The sequence below is a fragment of the Homo sapiens genome, chromosome 2 (genome assembly GCF_000001405.40).
Source record: "Homo sapiens chromosome 2, GRCh38.p14 Primary Assembly".
NCBI classification, from domain to species: Eukaryota; Metazoa; Chordata; class Mammalia; order Primates; family Hominidae; genus Homo; species Homo sapiens.
In genome coordinates this window covers 239,126,968-239,150,831 of record NC_000002.12, presented here as the reverse complement: position 1 = coordinate 239,150,831, position 23,864 = coordinate 239,126,968, and the positions used below count along the sequence as shown (strand labels likewise).

The 23,864-nt window shown below is 52.5% G+C and overlaps 1 protein-coding gene and 1 long non-coding RNA gene across 47 annotated transcripts in view; both read left to right on the top strand.

Annotated features, from left to right (window-relative positions):
* Positions 1-23,864, top strand: part of HDAC4 (histone deacetylase 4) — a 353,482-nt gene that overhangs the window by 250,818 nt on the left and 78,800 nt on the right. For 37 of the 46 annotated variants that reach the window (XM_047446489.1, XM_047446486.1, XM_047446483.1 and 34 more), the window contains 4 exons: positions 6,118-6,249; positions 11,036-11,148; positions 16,189-16,305; positions 16,389-16,587. In XM_047446489.1, the coding sequence (XP_047302445.1) occupies positions 6,118-6,249; positions 11,036-11,148; positions 16,189-16,305; positions 16,389-16,587 (561 nt within the window). The remainder of the gene's footprint in view (positions 1-6,117; positions 6,250-11,035; positions 11,149-16,188; positions 16,306-16,388; positions 16,588-23,864) is intronic. The other 9 variants (XM_047446498.1, XM_047446496.1, XM_047446493.1 and 6 more) reach the window with 1 other exon arrangement.
* On the top strand, positions 16,594-23,473 carry LOC124908009 (uncharacterized). Its single transcript, XR_007088257.1, has 2 exons — positions 16,594-20,192; positions 20,287-23,473. It is a non-coding gene; the product is annotated as an uncharacterized LOC124908009 (long non-coding RNA).

Sequence of the window (23,864 nt, the reverse complement as noted above, 5' to 3'; positions counted from 1 at the left end):
GTGGTATATACTTCAGGAGGTGCGGTATATACTTCAGGAGGTGCAGCGTAGTGAGACTTCCTGCTGCTGTATGTGAAGGTGTGGTACATACTTCAGGAGGTGCAGCGTGGTGAGACTTCCTGCTGCTGTATGTGAAGGTGTGGTACATACTTCAGGAGGTGCAGTGTGGTGAGACTTCCTGCTGCTGTATGTGAAGGTGTGGTACATACTTCAGGAGGTGCAGCGCGGTGAGACTTCCTGCTGCTGTATGTGAAGGTGTGGTATATACTTGAGGAGGTGCAGCGTGGTGAGACTTCCTGCTGCTGTATCTGTGTTTATGTACCTGTGTGTATATCTGTGTGTGTACCTGTGTGTGTATCTGTGTTTCTATGTATCTGTGTGTGTGTCTGTGTTTCTGTGTGTGGGGTGTGTATCTGTGTTTCTGTATATCTGTGTGCGTTTCTGTGTTTGTGTATCTGTGTTTCTGTGTGTGTGTCTGTTTCTGTGTATCTGTTTCTGTATCTGTGTTTCTGTGTATCTGTGTGTATATCTGTGTATGTACCTGTGTGTGTATCTATGTTTCTGTGTGTGTATCTGTATGTCTGTGTATCTGTGTTTCTGTGTGTGTATCTGTGTGTCTGTGTGTGTACCTGTGTTTCTGTATGTATCTGAGTTGTCTTGTTAACAAAAATACCCATTTTGCGTTTTCTCCTCTACCTTTATTTTTAATTAATATTATATGGTGGCCATTATTCCATTTTTACGTATGAAGCTCAACGCCTTTCTCTCAAGTAGTCTAAGACATAGATATAAGTTGGACTGTTTTCTGGTTACCATTTTGCCAGCAACTTTGAGCACCTTTCCTCACTGTGTTAGTATTTCTGTAGGAAAGGTTCCTGAAAATGGAGCTGCTGGTTCAGAGTATGTATATTCCAAAACATTGAGCAAATGATACCCCCTCCCCAGCAGCCTGAGAGTCCATTTTCCCCACCCCCTCCACGAGCAGGCGGGATGGTGTTGCAGTTCATTCTAGGCAATGTGGCCAGTGGTGAAGATGGCGAGCCTGTTGGTGTTTGAGTGAGCAGTGCCGTCACCGTCAGTCAAGGGCGGGCATGGCTGTGTGCTTGCCCCCTCCCCAGGAGCACGTGAGCAACGTGCTTCAAAGTCGAGGGTGGCTGGTGCCCCGGAGCTGGGCAGCGGGGCTGCCCTGAGCAGGCTCTGTCTTCAGAGCCACCCTGTGCCCAGCATCTGGAGCCACGCAGGGCACGTGAGGCGGTTCCATCAGTGCTGAATGGAGGTTGCTTAGCGGCAGTGCGTTCACCTGTTCTTCTGTGGGGCATCGTCTTTGCTTGTTCCTTTGTAAGTACTGTTTATATGTTGTTTGCAATGCTGTGTTTTCATGTATTACAGAAGTTAGATTCCAGTCTGTCATTTGTCTTTTAGAATTATCTTTTTATTTATTTATTTATTTATTTATTTTGAAACGGAACGTCGCTCTGTCGCCCAAGTGAGACAACCTCCGCCTCCTGGGTTCAGGGGATTCTCCTGCTTCAGCCTCCTGAGTAGCTGGGACTACAGGTGCCACTACCACACCTGGCTAATTTTTGTATTTTTAGTAGAGACGGGTTTCACCATGTTGGCCACGCTGGTCTCAAACTCCTGACTTCAGGTGATCCACCTGCCTCAGCCTCCCAAAGTGCTGGGATTACAGGCATGAGCCTCCATGCCCGGCCAGAATTATCTTTTTATTTTCACCGAAGTAAATAAACGTACATTTACATAGACCCCCATGATGTTCATGATAGGAGAACGGCCGTCCCTGACTGCCTGTCCCGCCTGCGTTATTACAGCGTGTGTCACGTTCACAGCAGAACCAGAGTCCACCTGGACTGCATTCACCTCGTAGAAATTTTTCCGGAAGTTGATCATTTTTTTCATTTGCTTAGTTTCACACCTGCCTGCTATCAATTCAGGCCCACATTTCAGCAGACCTAGGAGACCCTCCTCTGCACAGCAGGCCGCCTGGTGCTTCTGGCCCCACTGCCCGGTGCGTGTGAACGGTCTGCTCTCCCGGCCTGGCCCCCGCCTCCTCTCCCGGGCTCCGTGGCCTCCTTTCTGCGGCCTCGCCATCTTGGTCATGCACGTCTTCCAGTGGCTCTTGGAGAAGTCGTGCATGGAGCATGAGTTTTTGGAGTCCTCATTTGCTGGTAAATCACTTTATTCTGTCGCACTCTTGGATGATCAGTTGGTTGGGACGGGTTTCCTGCAGGGTTTTCAGGTCATCGTCTTGCCCTCGATGTGGCTGTTGCCAAGTACAAAACTGTTCTCAAGGCCGAGCCTTTGTCCCCAGAGCTCTGAAGCAGTTTGGGATCCCGCAGGTGGGGGATTCTTGGCCTCCGTGTCCAGCTCCTCTTCAGCTGGACAAGTAGGCCTGGAATTGCTGCTCATGATTTCTCCACCCTGCTGATTCTCTCTTCTCCTGGCGTTTCCAGTAATTTGTTGTACGACCTTTGCACTCCCATTTTTCATCTTTTTATCCTTTTATTCCCCCTTCTGACAATTCTCAACTTTTTCTCCAGCCCCTTCCTTCTGCACTTTAGTTTTTGTCCTCTTGTCTTTATCCTCTTTAATATTTCCTTTGGTGTCACTTTAGGATTTCAGGGCAGAGCAGCTGGAAGCAGGTGCCTCCTTCTCTCTGCAGTTCTGCCTGCCCGCCCTGTCCCACGGCGATATTGCGTGCATTCTCTGATGCTACATCAATGGGTTCTTTCCTCGCTGGCCGCTGGACATTGCATCAGGCCCACAAAGAAACCGCCCTCCACACTGGTGCCAGGTGCACGCCTGTCCCCTCTGTAAACCCGGCCCCTAAGAGTTAAAGCGTTCCGGCTCTGAGAGCCGCTTCACCTGCAGCTGACTCTCAGGATGTTTAAGTTGGAGGAGCCAGCCTGTGTCTCCATCAGAATTGCTTCTGGCAGAAGGATGAAGGCACCTGCTAGGCATTGGGCACTGCGTTGAATTTTAAGGTTGTGATTGGAATGTTGTATCGCCTTAATTAGTCATTTACTTGATTGGCTTCAGGAGAAACAATCCCACCTGCTCCCTGTTCCCTAAGGAGCAGACACTGCATTTGGAAGTACAGTTGGCATCCTTCCTGCCCTCACCCACGCTTGGTGGGAGCAACTCTTCCATGAGGCCTCCGGCCTGATGCTTTGGTTCTGTCAATGTACCTGCAGCCCTCTTAGGGGTGGGATCCAGTTTCTGCAGTTCCTCCACCTGGCCACATCGTGCCTGGAATGAGTGGAAGGCCCGCGAGGGCGGTGAAGGGGCTGCTGCACTGAGCCAGTACACGTGCAGCCTCGACCCTCACAGTCACCAGGTGCCGGCTTACCTGCATCTTCCACTTTGGCTGCCTTTGGCAGAATTATTGGAGTTACAGGCATTGTGCAAGCTTTAAGACACATGCATTTGAAGGGCTGATATTGTAGGTCCCTATGTCTTAAGTCAATCTATGAGATGCCCGGCCTGGAAGTAATGAGGGAGGGCAGGAAGCAGGAAGGCTGGCCACCCTGAAAGCAGGCAGTGAGCCGGTCCTCGTGGTATGCGGCTCCCCCGGCTGCCTTCTGCCCCCTAGGGCTTCTCTGTTCTCCCCAGGAAGGCCACTTCATGTGCCCCGGGTGGTCTCCAGCATCCCCCTTCTCTCCTGGTCCACGTGCTGCTGCTCAATCCCCTCCCCGAGCCCCGCATCCAAAACCCTGCTTGTCTGATAGGTTCTGCGGGGGAGTCAGAGTGCTGAATAGCCCACGGGGCAGGGACGAGCGGAGGGCCCCAGCCTCATGCCATGCTGTCCCTGGCAGTGCTGGCATGGTGTCCTGGAGCCTCCTGGTCAGCTGCAGCCACCCTGCAGGCAGAGTCGACCAGGGACGTGCAGTCGGCTAGAATCAGGGAGCCCAGGCAGGTGTGCAGGCTGGGAGGCAGGGGGTAAACAGGTGAGGGGACAGAAGAATTCCAGATGGTGAGAAGGCTGCTGTGAGGAAGACAGGGCAGTGGGGCTGTGATGGGGGCAGTGGGGCTGTGGGGGGTCAGGGCAGCCTTGGGAGGGGCGTGGAGCAGAGGCCTGTGGAAGGGGAGAGGAGGGAAGGGGAGGGGAGTGGAGGGAAGGGGTGGGGTGAAGCAGCCACCATGGGACTCTCCTCAAGAGTCTCTTGCACAAAGAGTCTGGAGTGCCCGGCAGGGCTGTGGAGGATCTGCCGCCTGACTGATGACCTGGTGGCAGCGTGATGACCCCCACAGGGCCTGGGGGAGGCGGTGCACTGGGCTGCAGTACCACAGCCAGTCCATGGTAGCCTGGAGTGACCATGTCATGCCCGCCTCCCGATGCCACGTGTCCCACTCTATGTGGCAGGGCAGCCACTGAGGAAGACCTTTCACACAGGGCCAGGGACCCTGTGCTCTTCTGTGGGCACACACAGCCCCTGCCTCTCAGAAGTGGCTCCTGTCCCAGGCCCGGGGAATCCCTGCAGAGCCCATGTGGGTTTCAGTGGAGATCTGGTGGTGAGAGAAGAGGTACTGTTTTCTTGCCTAGTCATCAGTTGGGTTTTTTGGCTTGTTTTTTTTGGTTTTGTTTTGTCTTTTGAATAATGGCAAGAAACCCAGCGTGGAAATAGAAGTGGAGCTTGTGAATCTACGCTTGCCTCGGTCGGTTGTGTTAGGCACAGAAGTGTGCCCTCGTCAGTAGCCCGTGGAGAGGCCGGCTTGTGGCTGAATCCGTCATCTGTCGTCATCCAGGTCCCCCGTGCCACAGCACAGAGGCCTCGCTCCCTGCAGAGGCTTAGAGTCTGGTACCTTCTCACAGCGCCTCTCTGGTTTCTCTGGGAAGGCTGTTTTAGGGAGCTTGCTTCTCCCACATCCTTCCAAGACCTGCAGAAAAACTGTCCCTGACTCGAAGCCTTTTCCAAAGTGGAGAAGGTCCTGGGCTGTCTGCACGTCCCAAAGAGTGAAGTCATGTTGGTCCCCATCGCCCAGCCACATCAGTCCTGCTTCCAGGAGAAACTCCGTCTCATTCCTTGTTGCTCTGGAGGCGGTGCACTGCCTGTTCCAGAAAGATTAAGAACAGCAGGAGTGCTGATTCTTTAAGAAGAGGTAAAATCTCCCTAATGTGCAAATCTCCAAGTGGTAGAATCTTGAAAGTAGCCAAGTAAAACCTCAGAACTCAAAGGCTTGTGTGACACACGTCTCCGTGGCGGTATTCTTGGCTCTGTTCTGGACTCTGAAAGCCGATAACCTCTCCCGGGTGGGTTTGGGGATTTCTTTGACTCCGGTCGCTGCCTTTAGATCCCTAGTGCTTCCCAAGGCGGGCCTCGCGCCGGAGGTTTGGGTTCCAGATGCAGATGAGTTGGGGACCACGGTGGGCTGAAAGGTGTAGATTCGCAAATGGCTCTGTCCACACAGGCAGAGCTGTTCACAGAAACCGACCCACGCCCAGTACCTTCACCCTGTGGTCAGATGAAAGGTGAAGCCGGCGCAGATGTTGGGATGGGCTCTGCTGAGCCTCCCCAGGTCGGGGTGGGGATAGCAGCCTCACGCTCTGGAGGCCTCACTGACTGACACAGCTGGGGCGATGCATGGGCGAGCAAGAAAGTGTGCAACGTGGACACCATCCTCACATCCCTGGGCCCAGCCTCACATCCCTGTCAGTCTTTCTCTGATTTTAGAGCAACACAGCTATGAAGATAGGGGTGTATTATCTAGAAGAGCATTAGTTACGAGACATCGCCATTAAGTGACTTCACACCTCAGCAGCCTCCTGCCACGCCCAGTAAATCAGCTTGTCAGTCCTGTTTCCATCTCCTGGTAAACAGTGGTGGCCTGATTCTGTGAAGACAGTGCCAGCGCTTGCATAATGCTGTGGCCACAGAAATTTATCCAAAGCACCAGATTCGTTTTATTCATTATTTGGGACTGATGAATGGGATTTAGAATCCCCTGCTTCGTGAGCTCCCTGCGCTCTCCCCTGCAGCAACACAGCAGTGTTGAGCAAATATTTACTCACCAGAGTGCGTATTTTTAAAAAACCACCAACAGGATAACCTTGAGCCAGTGGTGTCTGCCTGGCTGTAATGACATCTCCTTTTTGTGCAGCTTCTGAACCGAATCTGAAATTACGGTCCAGGCTAAAGCAGAAAGTGGCCGAAAGACGGAGCAGCCCCCTGTTACGCAGGAAAGACGGGCCAGTGGTCACTGCTCTAAAAAAGCGTCCGTTGGATGTCACAGGTATGTCGGCTGAGCAGGTACACCCGCCCCGCTGCCCTCTCTGCCAGGCCTTCCTGCCATAGGCGATTTCTCTCAGGAGCTTCTGAAAACCCACGTGTCTGCCTCACGCTGTCAACCCCCAGTGTGGTCCTGTTCCCATGGCGCTGGAAGTGCCAGGCCCAGGGGACCAGGTTTGATGACTCCGGCATGTCTAAGCCGGGCCCTGCTCCTGGCATTAGTGACTCAGAGCTGGTTCTAGGTGGGCTGAGGTGCACAAGGGTGCCCCAGCTTGGCACTGCGGGAGATGCAGTCAGGAGCTTGAGTTGAGGCTCCTCTGAAGGTGGGTCTTAACCAGTCCCACCCTAGTAGTGGTGAATCGCATGCTCTGCCCTGTTCCGCTGCCCCTGAGCAGTGTCTGAACCACCGGGGCATTTTAACGTCTTCCCACGCCAGAGCACCCATCAACTGAGCAGGGAGGGAAGCAAGGAGTGAAGTTGCTTCAGCTTGGCCCTAGTGACGTGTCACGGTTGGCCCCATCTAGTGGTGGACACGCAGAAGGACAAGACCGAGCAGACCCCCATCCTGAAGGCTCACCCGCCCCTCTTGAGGGTACATCCCCATCCAGAGGACCACCCATTCCCAACCACCACCAGGGTACACCCCTCACCCCACCACTCCTGAAATCACAGCACCAGGATAAAGGAGCTGCTTGGGCATGGCCTGGATAGAGGGGAGGCAGCGGACATGTTTGCACAACAGAAAGTGTTCAACTTGAAGGCCAAGGCTCATGGTAGGTGGTCTGTGAAAGGCACAGTTCCACTGAGCAGGCTGTTGACCTAGGGAAGCCGGGGAGGGGCTCCTGGTGCCATGCCCCGTGTGTGCGAGCATTGGCATCACACAGGGACTCTGCTTCAGCAGTGAGGTGAGAGCCAGACCTACCCGCTAAATACAGGGCCCTGCCTGTTTCTCGTGCCCTGTCCCCTCTCTACTTGAGGAGTTCCTAACCACGGTGTAAGGGTCTGGGTCTGAATATTTGTGGATTTCTATTAAAAAGTATCTGACATCTTCATGCCCAGGGGAACTCCATATGTGTCATTTCTGATGTAGGTTTCTTTCCTCTGGCCATTATAGTACACACAGACCTTTTCTACAGCCATCAAGAAATGTTATGATCTAAAGTTTCACTAAGTCTAGCTGACTGGGGAAGATTCAGTTGAAACGAGGAATCATGTGAGTTAAAAGCTTTCAAACTCCAATGCAGCCTTTTTTCCTATGAGCAGTGCCTTGCTTGGCCAGCTCTAATGGACACGTGAACCTTTGCGTTTTTTTGTTGTTTTTTTTTTAAAGTGTGCAGTGGGTGAGACGGAGTCTTCAGCAAGCTTCTTCTGAGTGTTAAAGCTGGTGTTCCTGTTGTCACCCAGTGACTACTGAGTGCTGTTTTTGAGTCAGCACTGGGCTGGGCGCAAAAATAGTGAGACAGAGTCCTTCCCTGGAAGGAGCTTGTGATGTAATTTGAGCAAGCAGCACATCACACGTGAGACCATCCAGGAGCCATGCGTGACAGGGCGTGATCAGTGCTGAGCTCACCCAGGAGTCATGTGTGACAGGGCCTGATCAGTGCTGAGCTCACCCAGGAGCCATGCGTCACAGGGCGTGATCAGTGCTGAGCTCACCCAGGAGTCATGTGTGACAGGGCACGATCATTGCTGAGCTCACCCAGGAGCCATGCGGCAGGGCGTGATCAGTGCTGAGCTCACCCAGGAGTCATGTGTGACAGGGCATGATCAGTGCTGAGCTCACCCAGGAGTCATGTGTGACAGGGCGTGATCAATGCTGAGCTCACCCAGGAGCCATGTGTGACAGGGCTTGATCAGTGCTAAGCTCACCCAGGAGTCATGTGTGACAGGGCATGATCAGTGCCGAGCTCACCCAGGAGCCATGCGTGGCAGGGCGTGATCAGTGCTGAGCTCACCCAGGAGCCATGCGTGGCAGGGCGTGATCAGTGCTGAGCTGTGGCATAAAGGGAGCCCGTGCCGAGGCACCTAGGAGTTGGGAGATCAGCACAAGCCACTCTAAGCCAGCAGAGCTCTGCAGAAGGTGGCATTTGCACTGGGACTTGGCGGGTGAGTGGGGCTGGGGCAGAGAGGCAGAGGGTTGTGCATCTCCTGGCCGGCACTGGTACCAGGGAGCTGCCACGATGGGGAGGCTGCTCTGAGTGGAGCTGATTTTCAGAAGACAGGTATTAGGAGTTCTAGGCGGGGTGGTCCCACACGGAGGAGTGGAGCCGATTTCCAGAAGACAGGTATTAGGCAGGGTGGTCCCATATGGAGCGGTGGAGGCAGTCGCGGTTCTTGGCAGAAAGAGAGCCAGGTGGATACTCTGCTTTTTCTCAGTCACTAATTAATTGGGTGTCTACTGTAGAGCACAAAGAAGAAAATGCATTCCCATACGCACTCTGTCCAGAGTGAATCCTGCTCACTCTGCACATTCCCGCAGCCCGTGTTCTGTGCCTTCCTCACACCTGAGTTCTCTCACTCTGCACGCCTTCCCGCAGCCCATGTTCTGCGCCTTCCTCACAGCTGAGTTCTCACCATCTTCCTGCGCCATCCTGCATCCCTCTCCACTCAATTTCAGCCACACGCCTTTTGAGCACCTCCAATGGTGTTCCCGTTTTGCTGATCTAAGTAATACTATGAAGATTATGCATTTATATGAATTTTCTTAGACCTATTCCTGGAAGTAGAATGCAAAAAAATAAAATTAACCTCGTTGAGTTAAAAGTGGGTGGAAAGTTACACATATAATTTTTACCGCCCCAAAAAGTTGTCCGGACTCCCCAGGCACATGCGTGAGGGTATTTATCTGACGACACAGCTGGGAGGCACCCATTACAGGGAAGATCTGCTGGATCTTGGTGTGTAGCTGGAGACAGCTTGACATCAGAGAGCAGGGGTCTAGGGTGGGCTACGGTGGGCTGCAGGTGGGGCAGAGATGGGAGAGTTGGAGGGGCCTGGAGAAGGCGGGTCCTGCTTTCTTGAGTGAAATGCAAACACTGGCTCAGCCCAGGTGGCATTCTCAGAATGCCCACTCACAGTGCAAATAACATGGCCTCGGCAGCGGGAGAAGCCTACCTCTGGAGTTAGTGTCTGGTGGAAGTGAGAGGGTGAGAGGGCCAGGGAAAGAAAGAGGATGGGGTAGGGTCGGGACCCAGTCCTGTATTCATGCTCAATGCCCAGGACAGTGAGCTGACCCCACACTCTTTTGAGCTCCAAGAGCCATGGGGAGCGGCTGGTGTAGGGCTTCTGGGTGGACACCCTGGTTTGCCCTTGGGAGGTTTAGACTGCCCTGCTGTTGAGGGCAAGATGTTCCCAGGGTGTTCCTGGTGGGCAGCGTGGTCAACAGAGGAGGTGCGCCTTCACCACCCAGCTGGGTTAACTCTGGTATGCAGACGCCCATGACAGTTCCCTCAAGCCACGTGGCCTGGGACGAGTGATGTTGCTGCTCCATGCCTCCATCTCCTCTTCTGGGAAACGGGGTCATAATGGCACCTTCCTCAAACAGTGACTGAGAGATGGATGAGCTAATAAAGGCAAAGTTTGGAATCAGGTCTGCCAGGTTGGGGGAGCTGTGGGTGGCTTTACCTGTTCCCCCACCCTCCTCATCCTCCTCACTGTGGCTCGGGGCTATATTTGCAGAGTCACCACCTCCAGCAGGCGTGGATACCACGTGAGTCAGCATGAGTGGGCACCTGCGTCCTCGTGGGCTCCAGGAGGACGCGGGCAGCAAGCAGACCGTGGAGGAGGCTTTGCTGGGGATGGCTCCGTTGAGGGGCTGCTTGGGGAAAACATCCCTTAACCTCCCCTCCAGGGCCCCCACCATGTCCCTTCCTTCTGACCTGTATGCGCTGCGCATATAGGTTGGGGCGAGGTTCTGAGCACCCAGAGTCGTTGCTGAACAGCAGACGCCTAGAGTTCTCGAGGCAAATGGGTCACATTGTGTTTTCTTTGGAAAGCTTTAACCAGATGATGCCATTGTTAAAATGCCGTTAAACTAAACATATGACAAGCCAAACAAATCCTTGTGTGAATATCGAGAGCCTCAGCGGCCTCCCACGGTGGATGTGTGTGCCCAAAATAGCAGCAGACCCCTTCAGAGGTGAAGGGATCTTTGGATTGGACGTGGCCCCTTTTGGAAGTCACATTCAGTCAGAGCGGAACCTGGTCTCATTAACCAGGGTCAAGCCGCACCGATGGTTAAAGATCCTCTAAGACTGTCCGAGCGTGTGTTTTCCAGTAGCACGGATAGATCTCAGGAGACACTGGCTATATTTTCCCCTGGATGCTTGCTGCTATGTAGGGAAAATGAGAGGATTCAGCTCAGAGTGAACACTAATAGTAGGTTGCTTTATTTTGAACTAAGCTTTTTATAGTGAGCACAGGAAAGCTGACCTTTTGCTTTTCAAAGTCACTTAGCTTCTGCATTTTCTGGTCTTCTGTTGTTAGGTCACTAATAAGTGTTTAAGGATTTATCTTTTTGGTGTTTAAAATTGTCTTGAAAATCAAACGAGGTATAAAATTGGTAACGTACATGTCCTAGAAAAAGTGAAGTCAGTGGCAAAACTGGAAAATCAGAAATCAGCATCATACTTTCTTTTTTGAAACCATGGCCATGTTCTTTTTGTTGGGACTTCTGCCTGTCGCAAGCTAACGAGCAGGTCCGTGGAAGGCACCGGGCATTCGGGCCACAGGTCAGCACGGCCCTCCCTCCGCATGGAGTAACACTCACCAGGGTATTTCTGCCTCCGCAGACTCCGCGTGCAGCAGCGCCCCAGGCTCCGGACCCAGCTCACCCAACAACAGCTCCGGGAGCGTCAGCGCGGAGAACGGTATCGCGCCCGCCGTCCCCAGCATCCCGGCGGAGGTCAGTGCGAAGCGTTTGTCCTGTGTCCTACGGCTAGAGTCGGACTCGGGACGGATGAGCTTGAAATGACCCCACTTTGCACTTGCCCTTCACTCTTCACCTTCCAATTTGGGGTGAGGGAAAGTGGCCTGTGAGCCATCCTAAAAAGGACGCAGTTGGAGGTTACTCTCCTGCCTTCCTCTCATCACAGACATCTCCTTTCATTATGAACACGCTAGTTCCAGGCACGTCGGGGACAGCCCTGAGCCTGGTCCTTTCTCCTGACCTCTTCCAGAGCAGATGTCACTAGATGGTGTCCCAGCACAAGCCCACGCATGGCAGGTGCTCTAGGTGGACAGGATCCCTGCTGCCCAGCTCGCTGTGGTCGCCAGTGCTCTGAGGGTGGCTGAGAGGCCGTGGGCACGTGGGTATAGTTGCTAAGTGAGACTTAACATTTTTTATTTTGTATTGAGAAATACACAACACGATGTCGGCCAACAAACTATGTGTCAGGGCCGACTGGAGCGTCACCCGTGGTCAGCATGGCAGGGCCGGCCAAAGCCACAGAGCGGGGAACTTTTCCAGGCATCACGGGAACCAGGCATCTCAGACCGCAGAGCTCAGCACCCCTGGTCCCCTGCCTTCATCAGACCCCAAGTGGTGCCACAGTCTGGGAGGGACATTGGCAAGCTAGAGAGGAGTCAGGGGACGCTTGGAGTCCCTAGGTGGGAAAGATGTCAGAGACGCAGGAGCTGAGTGGCAAGGCAGGGAGGAGTGGCGCCCAGGCTGGCCGAGTCGCACACTGACCATACTCGGAGGCTTTCCAGGGCAGCAGGTCCGAGGACCTCGCTCCGTGTTCCTTGAGCTCCTTTGCGCCCCCTGCCTTTATCCCACACGTGTCCCGAGCGCCTTGTGCCAGGCCCAGGGACAGAACCAGGCAGGCAGCAAGGACCTGCCCCACACTCCACACAATGCCCCACTGACAAGGAGAGGCCACCCCCAGAGCACGGGGAAGAAGAGAGAGGCAGAGAGAGGCAGTCCCGCAGGCTGAGTGGTGCCCTGGGCCTGGGTGGGCCTGACTGCAGGGCAGGGGTGGGAGGGGTACGCTTTAGCAGTGAGTTTTCTGATGAGTTGAGCTGGAAATGCTGTGTCTGCTTCATGGGGCAGAGTTCTACTGAGTGGGAGGTTCTTTCTGAATTCTCTCCAACTTACAGAAGGCTATAATTTATTAAATATAGTTATTGACTTTCCTTCTTAAATATTTAGAAATGAATCCTGCCCTTCCAAAGGATTGGCAAATCTTAGCTGGGATACAGAGGCATGAGTGTTTAGCATTTTCATTTCAAATTTCAAGACCGTTTATGTATAAACATTTTTAGAGACTAGAATTACTGCTCAGAACGAATTTTGCCCTTTGTCTCCAGGCTGCTTAATCCCCAATTTCTCTTACTCTTTCTACTTCATACATCGATTTCTTTTATTACCTGTCTTCTTCAGCCTGCCAACTTCAGTACTTATTTAGATGATTAGAAGTTTTAACAGTCCTCTGTATGGCTGTGGTCATAGCTGAGGTCTACCAGTAATAAGCCTTATAATGCAACCTAGAAATTACTTCCTGCCCTGAGGTTAACACTGGTTGCATCTTGTTGATTGTGGTCCTAGATACATGTTTTTATTTAAAATGAGGCACTTATGTACATGGTAGTTAATATTGGAACAGTGCCTTGTTTGGGTGGGTCTGCATCATTCCAGTTCTGTGTTAATTTTTAGAAATCACGATACGTAAATGAAGCTACTGGAAATTAATAGAACATGTAGAAGGAGTTACAGGAAATACCAAGAGGTGCCATTGTTCATGTTCCACATCAGATGTTCATTAGAGTGGGCACGGGCAGCCTTTGCATGTTGGATCACACCCAGGCGCCCTTTCTGGGTTTCAGTATCTCTAGAGTTGGACGGGTCTGTGAGAACACCTGTGCTTCATGGCCAGGGGCTGGCTCTCCGTTCTCACGTGGTGCAGAGTGTAGTGAGCTTGCCCGTCAGAGGGGGTGTCTCGAGTGGATGAGGATGTGGGGGGAGCAGGGGCCTCCCAGCCTGGCTCTCAGCACTGCCTTTTCTGTTCACCCTGGGGTCCCTAGAAACACTACTGTACCTTGAAGGCCCCCTGGACCCAGGGAAGCCCAGTGTGCCGGGCACCTCCTCCTCTACAGTGCCAGGGAGGCCCAGAGTGCCGGCACCTCCTCCTCTACAGGCCAGGGAAGCCCAGTGTGCCGGCACCTCCTCTACAGGGAGGAGGCAGGGCTCAGAGAGTGAGAGGAAGTCGCCCAGGTGCGTAAGGGGACAGCTCCTCTGTGGCCGCTGCTGCTGTTATTTACACGCGTGCCTGGATGCTCTGACCTCAGGCCCGCGGACTTTCCCTCTGAGCACATGCTGAGATGCGGTCCGGGGGCGCCAGCCTCAGAATGCCTCCCGCAGGGCTCGGCCCCGAGGCAGCAGATGCCAGAACGCCCTGCGATTTCTCAGGTGGACCAGTCGGCATCTCCAAGGAACAAATTCTCAGAAGCCTCCTTTAGTTCCAGAAATGGGCTTAAAAAAAACCTTGCTTACAAAGGAAATGAAAACTTTGCAAACATTAGAACGTCTCCTTATTTTGTTCCCAAATGATAACACAAGCATTTCCTCTACAGCATAACTTACTGATAATTCTTTAACTTTTGACAAAAAAAAAATTGCCTAGGAAAAATGTTTTCCTCAGTAGCCCTTTAATCATTCCTTACACAATGTAATATGTGAGCAAATCTAAAGGGAGTTGCAGGGTTTCCTCTGGGGCGAGGTGCGCCGTGAGTTTGCTCCTAAGTGAGAAGGCCGGGCTTTCTGTTCTGTAGGAACAGCCTGAGTGTAAGTGTTTGTCAGGAGAAGCGTTTCTTCCTATCCCCAATGGCCAGTCATATGTCTTTGGGGAAATGTCTCTTCAGATCCTTGGCCCACTTTTATACTGGCTGCTTCAGGTTTTGCTGGTGAGTTGCTGGAGTTCCCGCATGTTCTGGATACTGCTCCCTTGTCGGATGAATGGCTTGCACATGTTTCCCCTTCCCACAGGTCGTCTCTTCACTCTGGTGATTCTCTTCCTTTGCTGTGCAGAAGCTTTTTAGTTGAGCAGAGTCCCAGTTGCCTGTTTTCGTTTTTGTTGCCTGTGCTTTTGAGGTCTTAGCCATGGATCTTTCACAATAGCCAAGAGGTCGAATCAACCTCAGTGTCCTTCAGTGGATGAATAGACAGAGAAAATGTGGTGCTGTACACAGTGGAATACCATGCAGCCATCAAAAAGGATAGAACCCTGACATTTGCAGCAACATAGATGGAACTAGAGGCCCTCATGTTAAGTGAACTAAGCCAGGCACAGAAAGACAAACATGGCATTTTCTCATTCATCTGGGGGAGCTAAAAACGTTGCTGTCATGGAGGTAGAGAGTATAATGAAATCTGTTATCTATTCATTATTAACGTTAGCTTCTGGCAAGGGGATTTCTATCTGCCAAACCCCACTAACTAGCATGATTACAACAACATTTTATTCCTTCTCTTTGTTTGCCCATTCATTCAGCAGACATTCCTTGAGTAGCTACTGTGTAGGGGATATAGTGGTGATAAACTATTGTCCTTTTTAGCAAAACACGTTCATTCTACAAGCAAAAAGATGTTAAATATCACAGTAGTTCAAGTCCTTGGAGACTGTTGCTGCTGACTCTTCCTGTGTGGCCTTCTAATCTTTACTCCTGGCTTGTGTTTGCTTTATCCAAGCCCATTCTTTAAAAGGTACATGATCTATAACCTGTTTTTCTAACTTAATGTATCATAAACAAGTGTCCAAGTAATCAGCTAGATCGTTCCCAACCCCCAGAGCATCCCGGTGTGCAATGCCCCTCCGTTCTGTTAACACCAAGGTGTCGGGGAAGCCGCATAGCTCTGCCATGCCTGCTGGGTGCTCGGCCCTGCAGCGGAGGCTTCATGGGCATCAGGCCATCTCCTTATTTCTTAACGTTACATCCCAAGAGTGGAGCTCCAGCATCAAAGGTTAGACAGATTTTGAAGGCCTTTGACATAGATTGCCAAATTGTCCTGCAGAAAGGGTGCCACTAACTGATTTGTGATTCACCCAACAGTGTTCGCCGTTCCTCTAGGCCAAGATGGTATTACCATGTTTCAAAAGTGTTTGCCAATTTGTTGGGTTTCAGAATACCTTTTTTGATGACCATGATGTGTTTTCCTGAGCGCCTTCCCCTTCCTGAGCTCTGCCGTCACTGGTCCTCACCGCGTGCTTTTCTCACTGTTAGTTGTTTGATTTGCAAGCTCTCTGTGCTGACCCTCGTCTGCCTCATACATGGCCAGTATTGTCATCATTGCCCACCTTTCGTAGAGGCAGTTGTTTTATGATTTTCTCTTTATTTTTAATTTTTGTGGGTACATAATGTATATATTTGTGGGGTACATGAGATGTTTTGATACAGGCATGCAATTTGTAATAATCACGTCATGCGAAGTGTGGGATGTCCATCCTCTCCGGTGCTTATCCTTTGTGTAACAAACAATCCAATCATACCCTTATAGTTATTTTTAAATGTACAGTTAAATGTTATTTCCTTTTTGTTTTCTGCCTTTGATGTTATGTCTGGAAAGACATTGCCAACTACAAAAAAGCATTGTAAACTATATTATCCTAGAAACTGCAAAACGGCATTGTAAACTATATTAGCCTAGATTTCCTTCTAACTGTTCTGTGGTAAATAATCAAACTGAATAGAAATCAACGAGATGATGCTGGACAAGGTGACAGAAGAAGAACTCGTATCGGGAGGAGGAAACTGGAGTGGTGAATTGTGCTTTCATGTTGTGGCACGTGTTGAAATCTCATGCTCTCATTGCTGTCTCATTTGTTACATGTACGTTTACGCTCATATATCAGAATTCAGTGCAGGTGTTTTCATCGTTGTTTTTCTTGGTGTATATTGCTGATGTTTGGCCGTGACAGACTGTGATGGTCATCGTGTGTTCTGTCCCCAGACGAGTTTGGCGCACAGACTTGTGGCACGAGAAGGCTCGGCCGCTCCACTTCCCCTCTACACATCGCCATCCTTGCCCAACATCACGCTGGGCCTGCCTGCCACCGGCCCCTCTGCGGTAAGTCAGCCCCCGTGGGTCCGTGTGGTGTGGGGTGGTGGTGATGGGTCCTTCCACCCGAGCATCCTGGCTGTGCTTTCCAGGGCACGGCGGGCCAGCAGGACGCCGAGAGACTCACCCTTCCCGCCCTCCAGCAGAGGCTCTCCCTTTTCCCCGGCACCCACCTCACTCCCTACCTGAGCACCTCGCCCTTGGAGCGGGACGGAGGGGCAGCGCACAGCCCTCTTCTGCAGCACATGGTCTTACTGGAGCAGCCGCCGGCACAAGCACCCCTCGTCACAGGTGAGCACAAATGGGCCTGGGTGCAGCCAGGCTCTGAGGCTGCCCACGCTCTGGATGGTGCCCCGCCTTCGCCTGCCTTTGGAGGAGACAGGAATGCACGCCTGTCCCACCCCCACAGTTCCCAAACACACATCCCCATCACGTGATGTAGCCACCGTGACTGCAGTGAAAATCCATGCCTCACTCCCAGAGTCAGGTAGATGGAGTGGAAACAGAAGTCACTTCCCCTTTCTCACCTTTTGGGAGAGGCCACCGGCTCTTGCGATTTGGGTTTCTGTCTGGACCAAGCTGAGCCAGCGCTGGAAGCCCAGAACCGACTCTTGTGGTCAGTTTGTGTTAGCGAACTTTTACAAATGTGCACTGTCTGGGGGAGTGGTTACATTTAGAAAAATACAATTTAGAGGAAAATGGGAACGTCCTTATGAAATTACATAGCAACAGCAATGTGAAAGTGTCACTTCAGAAATGAGGGCACACCGGCCGGACACGGTGACTGACACCTGTAATCCCAGCAGTTTGGGAGGCCGAGGCAGGCGGATCACGTGAGGTCAGGAGTTCAAGACCAGCCTGACTAACATGGTGAAACCCCGTCTCTACTAAAAATACAAAAATTAGCTGGGCGTGGTGGCGCACACCTGTAATCCCAGCTACTTGGGAGGCTGAGGCAGGAGAATTGCTTGAAATTGGAAGGCAGAGGTTATAGTGACCCGAGATGGTGGCACTGCACTCCAGCCTGGGCAACAGAGCGAGACTCCGTCTCAAAAATAAATAAATGAGGGAGCAGCTACCTACCCCCTTGCCGTGCGGGTCATCGTTGTACATCTTCATAGCTTTGTGTTTGGCTTCCTGGAAACCTGTTGTTGCCAATTGAAAGCTGAAATACCCTCAGAGCTGCACCTGTGAAACTCTGGCAGTGAACTTGGTGAAAACTCAGGGGCTTGGCGTGTTGTAGGAGGCTGCGCTGCAGGATGCGTGGGGCTAGGGGCTGGCTTGGGTGGGCTTGGGCCTCTGGCTTGACTAGTCTGGTGGATTTTGGTGTTTTCTTGTTTTGTGCTGCCCATGTGTCTCTGTTTAGACAGAGAGGATTCCTTCTTATTCCTTCTTTGCCCAGAAGCCAAATGGCGCAATCTTTGTTTTGTGCCTGAGCCCCTTTCTGTTTGTTTCTCCAGAAGCTTGAATTCGTGTCCCTGCCTGTCCAGAGCAGAGGAGCCCGTGGTGTAACGAGGGAGGGGGCAGCCCTCACAGTGCCTCTCTGAGCTGCGGCCACAGTGGCAGGCACGCGGATCTCTCTGGAGGAATGTATCTGAGGTTGCGTCTGAGTCTCTTGGATGCTCTAGATCAGCTGGCACGAGTGTGGGTAGTGAAGGACACCTGAGTTTCTCGCCTGTCTTTAAAAACGTAAAATGTGCCTGATCTTCAGGATTCCTGGGATTCACTTCGTCAGAGATGTTTGTCACTTATCTTCTTTCCTTCTCTAAATCAGTTTATTCTGCACGATTAAATAGCATGCGTAATCTTGTGTATCAGGTTTTTGGAAAACAGCCTTTTTGATAGAACCTGGATATCGAGTGTGCATGGGTCTCACCTCTCTGAGAAACGCACTGAACTCGGCGTTGCTTCTTCCCTGTGTGCGCTCATCCCTCTTTTCCTCCCAGGTGCAGCTTGCTCGTTGGCATGGGGACCTGCCCACCGTGCCCTGCCCAGGCTCTGTGCCACCAGGGGGCCCATGCATGGTTGCCCAGCTTGCTCTGGCCTTGCTTTACGCCTGTGCCCAGCAAGCCCCTCCAGTCCTATGCCGCCACCTCCAAAACCCTGCAAGCCCCTTCTCTCCTGCACAGCCTCCCCAGGTTGCCAGCAGCTCATCCTGCAAACCCCCTGGCAGGGAGCCTCGGAGCCAGTGTCACGTGTGCAGCGTAGTGCAGCCACACAGCCGCCTCTGTCCCAGCTTTCTCCTGCTCCATGACCCTGGGAAGCCGCTTATGCTCTGTGTGCCTTGTTTTCCCATCTAGGAAGTGGGGATACTAAGCGGTCCGCCCCCGTGAGCCTGATGAGGGTTAAGTGGGCTGTGCACTCATGTGCCCCTGCAGGTGTTGGCATCATTGTTGTAGTCATTGCCTTGTTCTTAACCTGCCACCTCCCATGCTCTCTCACTCCCCCAGCCAGCCCCTGTCCGTCCTCAGTGTCTCAGGGGCCCTCCCCCAGCCCCGCCATGAGCAGGGCCCTCATTTGGAACCCGCTGGGATTGCCCCATCTTCTTGTGGGAAGAAGCCTCCTGTGCAGGTTCCTCCCCTCCGGTCTGTCCTCCTGTATCCACCGGACTCTCCTTGAAGGCCTGGAGGCCCCCACGCTGTCTAGAGCAGTACTGGCCAGGTCAGGAGCCACCAGCCACGGGGAGCTGTTAAATAAATAAGTCAGAATTAGAATTCAGTTTCTCAGTCACATGTGCACCACATCCAGTGCACGGCCCACGGCTGTCCCCTGAATGTTCTCATTGTCACAGAAGGTCCTGGCAGGGCGGCACTGGCCTGGAGTGAAGTCCCAGCTTGTGAGCAGGAACTCCAGCCTTCCTCTAGAAGCCTCGTTTCTCTTCCCTAGTCCGGTACAGCAGCCAGGCCAGCCGGCTCAATGCTGGACCAGACCGCAGCCAGCCCCCAGAGCCAGGGCTCTTTCCCAGGGCCCTTTTCCCCATCAGGTGTGGTTCGTCTGCCCCCTCATCCCAGGCTTCCATCCCTGCCCCAGCCCTGCCTTGTTGCTCCTTCCCTGGATCACACTGCATCTTCGTTTCCATGTTCTGCCCTTTCCTGCAGTTTTTGACGAACTCTTGCTTGAGTTGGTCTCCTGGACAGCAGTGCCTGTGTTTTCCTGGCCCACAGACAGACCCACCTTATCGCTGGTAATCGTGGTGCATAGGTGTATAGGATATCAAAGCTAGAACAGCCCTCCAGCCACAAATGCTTTGAAACAGAGGCCTCTGTGGGTGAGGTCACTGTCAGAGACCAGAGGGGTGAGCCATGGTCCAGGGTCTCCCAGAGCTGCCTCCTACACGCCACATACCTCCAGTCAGCCCCTTTCCGCACCGCTCCGGGCAGTTCCTCGCCAGTCACAGGCTGGGCGTGCCTCTTCTATGTCCCTGTTCATGTGCTGCTCCAGTGCGGCACTCCGCACGTGGTCACTGTGGACTCAGATCTTTGCAGAGTGTCTGGTACATCCTCGGAGATTAGTCTCCGCATAACTAGCTGAGGCGGGGAGTGGAGCTCAGGAGCCCATTCCCGGGTAAGAAGGAAAGTGTCTGTGCAGAGCCCTGTGCTGCTGCTTTAGTTGGACGCAAAACTGTGGGCATGATTGTTGCCTGGACAGCCCAGCTAAGTCCTTTATGATGCCCGTGTGGCTGAGAAGCAGGACTTTGAGAACCATGCAATCTGCTGTCAGGACCCGAGAGACAGGGCCCCCCAAGACCCAGGAGGAGCTTGGTAGTACAGGCATGTGGAGGAGAAGGCTGGAGACCAGGGCTGTGCCGCAGGTGGGCCTAGGGAAGGCTTCCCGGAGCAGTGGCGTCGGAGCTGAGATCTCAGTAGGAGCTTGCAGGCGGAGAGGGAAGGGCACAGGTGGAGGGAGATGTGTATGCCTCGTGGAGGTGGCCCTGTCACAGATCTTTCTAGCATCCTGAAACAGAGCATGCCACCAGCGTCTTAAGGACAGGTGGAGGGAGATGTGTATGCCTCGTGGAGGTGGCCCTGTCACAGATCTTTCTAGCATCCTGAAACAGAGCATGCCACCAGCGTCTTAAGGCTACGTAGCCTTCCTGAGCTGGCAGTGGAGACCCACTGTCCCGCTGTCACATGCTGAGTGGAGGGTGCCCCTGGCTTCTGTGTTAGCGATGGCATGCTACTGTTTAGGCCTCATTTCCCCAAAAAACAGCGAGTCCCAGGAAGGGCTTGAGCACAGCTGGCCGTGGTTCATGTCCTATAATTGGCACGCGAGGCTGTGGTCCTCAGCCCTGGCCTGGCCTCAGCTCCATCCCCAGAAGCTCAAACAGATGCTGATTGGTCCAAGCGAATCCAGAGCACCCACATTGTTCCCTTGGGCGGCCGGGATTGCAAACTGTGAGTTGGATCTAACTCTTGCCTGGTTTGCTTCTCAATGGAAGGATTTTAAAGAATTTTGCAGAAAAAGCAATGGAATACACCAGATGGACTTCTAAGGACTCAGGCACCCTGAATTGTTCATCTCATGTGAATTCATCACCTAAACAGAATCCCAGTGTGTGCAGACCCGCTCTTCAAAACTGGGTCCGGAACTTGAGAGCAATCCAGTCTTTCACCTTCTTTTTTCTTAAATCCCCATACCTGGTGGGGTGTGTCTAAGTGATGCATTTGCACACTCACTAATTAGTTTGGGTATTGCTGAGCAGGGTGTTCTAAACTTAGACCCTGGATGGCTGGGTGCATTCCAGCATGCTCACTCGGGAACTGTCATTGCAATTATTGTGATTGTGTGTTAGAGTATGGACTTCCAGGGGAGCTGGCCACTGAGCACAGTTCAGGCCCAGCCCCAAGTGCCTCCAGGAGGAGCAGGAGCCGGCAGCCATAGGGACACAGCCGTCCAGCACCAGGAGCCAGGGTCAGCTCAGGAGCCAGGGTCAGCTGTTGCCCTTGCACTGGGCACAGGGAAGGGCTTCTGCCAGTGCTCAGGGCAGAAAGAGCAGAAGCTGGAAAAACCCTGGCTAAGATGCCCAGGGGAGGAGCCCAGAGCAGGGGGCCACTGGGACCACAGGAGCCAGGCTCTGCCCCACACCCCGCCCAGCACCACACAGCCAGCCCCTGCAGCTGGGTCACCGACCACAGAATTGTGTCCTGATGGACTTATGCTCAAAAGTCCCTGACAGCATATCCTGAAGACCACATCATGGTCTGTCATCAGAAGCTCTTGTTAATGATCTCAGGGATCCAAATTGGAAACCACCCTGCCAGCAAATAGCATTGCTATGCAGAGGTCAGGGCGCTGCTTTTCAAGGATACCCAGGGGTAGGGTGTCCCTGTGTATGGCGGCCCTGGGTTTTGCACCCTGGAGGCAGCAGAGTGAAATTCTGAGTGGGCGAGATAGGCTGAGAGAGAGTGAGGGGCTGGTCCGTGGGGAGTGCAACTGGAAAAGGAACAGGGCCGGTCTGCACAGGGGTCTCTGCTCACACCAGTTCTGAAAATGAAGCCCTGTTCCAATGGGGCGTAGGCTTGTGTCCCCGTGTGAAGCTGGTGGCCTGGGAAATTCCTGGGCCCATGCGGAGGATGGCGGGAGGCAGAGCCCTGGACCAGAAGGAGCCTGGGAGCGCTGTGTAGCCCCCACTCACACCGCTGGCTCGAGTCGCTTGTTCCTTACCGTGTGTCACACCAGGAAGCTGAATCCTATGAAGTTGGCGTGTCCTTCTCCTCTGCAGAGGGTCAGGCCTGGGCAGGGGACTGTGCAGCTCATCACCGCCTCCACCCCTGAATGGTGTGCACACTGAGGCTTTGGGGGAAAACAACGCTAAGGAAAATGTATTTCAGGTTCCCATTGCTTTCCGAGGAGAGACCTTTCCAGCAACTACGTAGCCTTTGCGTCCCCTGAAAGCAGCTTTGTGTGACTGACTTCCTTATTTCCTCCGTGAAGTAGTTCAATCCCACGTAATACACACGTCAACAATTGAAAAATTCTGAAATGCCTTCTTTTTTTTATTTTTTTTTTGAGACAGAGTCTCGTTTGTCGCCCAGGCTGAAGTGCAGTGGCATTATCTGGGCTCACTGCAACCTTGCCTCCCAGGTTCAAGCAATTCTTCTGCCTCAGCCTCCTGAGTAGCTGCGATTACAGGCATGTGCCACCATACATGGCTGATTTTTGTATTTTTAGTAGAGACGGGGTTTTGCCATGTTGGCCAGTCTGACCTCAGGTGATCCACCCACCTCGGCCTCTCAAAGTGCTAGGATTACAGCCACCACCGCGCCCAGCCTGAAATGCCTTCTTTAGGATGGTTTACCTTTTTCTTTTTTTACGTTTTCAGGGAATGATTCTGAATGGATTTTTAGTTATTCACTGTAATTTAATAGCCAAGCATTGATGATAAAATTTAAGATAACATGTCTTTCCGGAAAGTTGTGGGGTTGGGTGAAAAGGGATGGTGGTTTAGAGAACACTAGTGAATAACTTTTGAAAAGGTAGTGAAGAGCAGCCTTGCTGGGGTCTTGCTGGGTTTAGTCTGTCTGGATGTGTCCTTTGTGTTTGCATATCACGTAGTATTTCTTAAATTTAGAAATAGCCCCTGCAAAGGGACTTGAGAAGCACTAAGCAGCATGGCTCTCACTGGGAGGCTTGGACTCCACTAAACCTGATGACACACCCAGCTGCCCTGCGAGCCCTGGCATCAGTGTCCTGGGGGAGGGACAGGACAGGAGCTGCCACTTGCCGGCAGGGCCACCTTGGTATCCCTGGAGGTCCCGTAGCCCTTGCAGCAGGCATGTAGCCCCGCCTGGCAGCAGGAACAGCAGGCTGCCTCAGGCGGATGCCGAGTTCCAAAGAGTCCCCCACCAGGGCCTCCAAGAGCTGGTGTGGTTACTTCCTTTGTCATTTCACCCGGTCAGATGCCCTTGAGCGGGTCAGGGTCATTTTTATCCTGAGCAGCATTGTTTAGTTTAGTGTTTACCCCACTCAGGTTACCAGAGGAACAGATATTCACAGAGCAGGACAGAGGGTTCGTTAGATCCTTTTGCCCACAAAACCATGGAAAAATGTTAAACGACCTAAACCAACAATTTATATATATCTCGATGAACGCATGCAGAAGGAAAAAATGTACTTCACTAGGTTGCATTGTAAATCAAGATACAGATGCCAATTAAAGCAAGATCATCTATCAAAATGGATTCTTTTAATCAAAACATACAGGGTTGGTGAAGTGGGCATCCTCCACTCGCTGGCAGGGATTAGCCAGATCTTTTCAGAAAGGGGTTTTGACAATATGCATAAGGACTTTTTAAAATGTTTACGCCATCTTTGTGCATAAAATCAGTGCTCGAAGAGACCTTAAAACGATGTCAACCCTAAGGACAATTGTTTTTCTCACAACTCAGGCTGTCTTTGGAAATATGTGGAGGCTCCCAGAACCGTGGCAGCCTTCCTCAGCACACTGGTGGCCCTCTCTCCCCTCCCACCGTGCTGTTCAGACCAAAACCCACTTTTCTAGGGCCTGTGGCCCCCAGGAACAATTGTGTGGTAGCCACTCTGGGGAAGGGCTTGCTCTTTGAAACCTG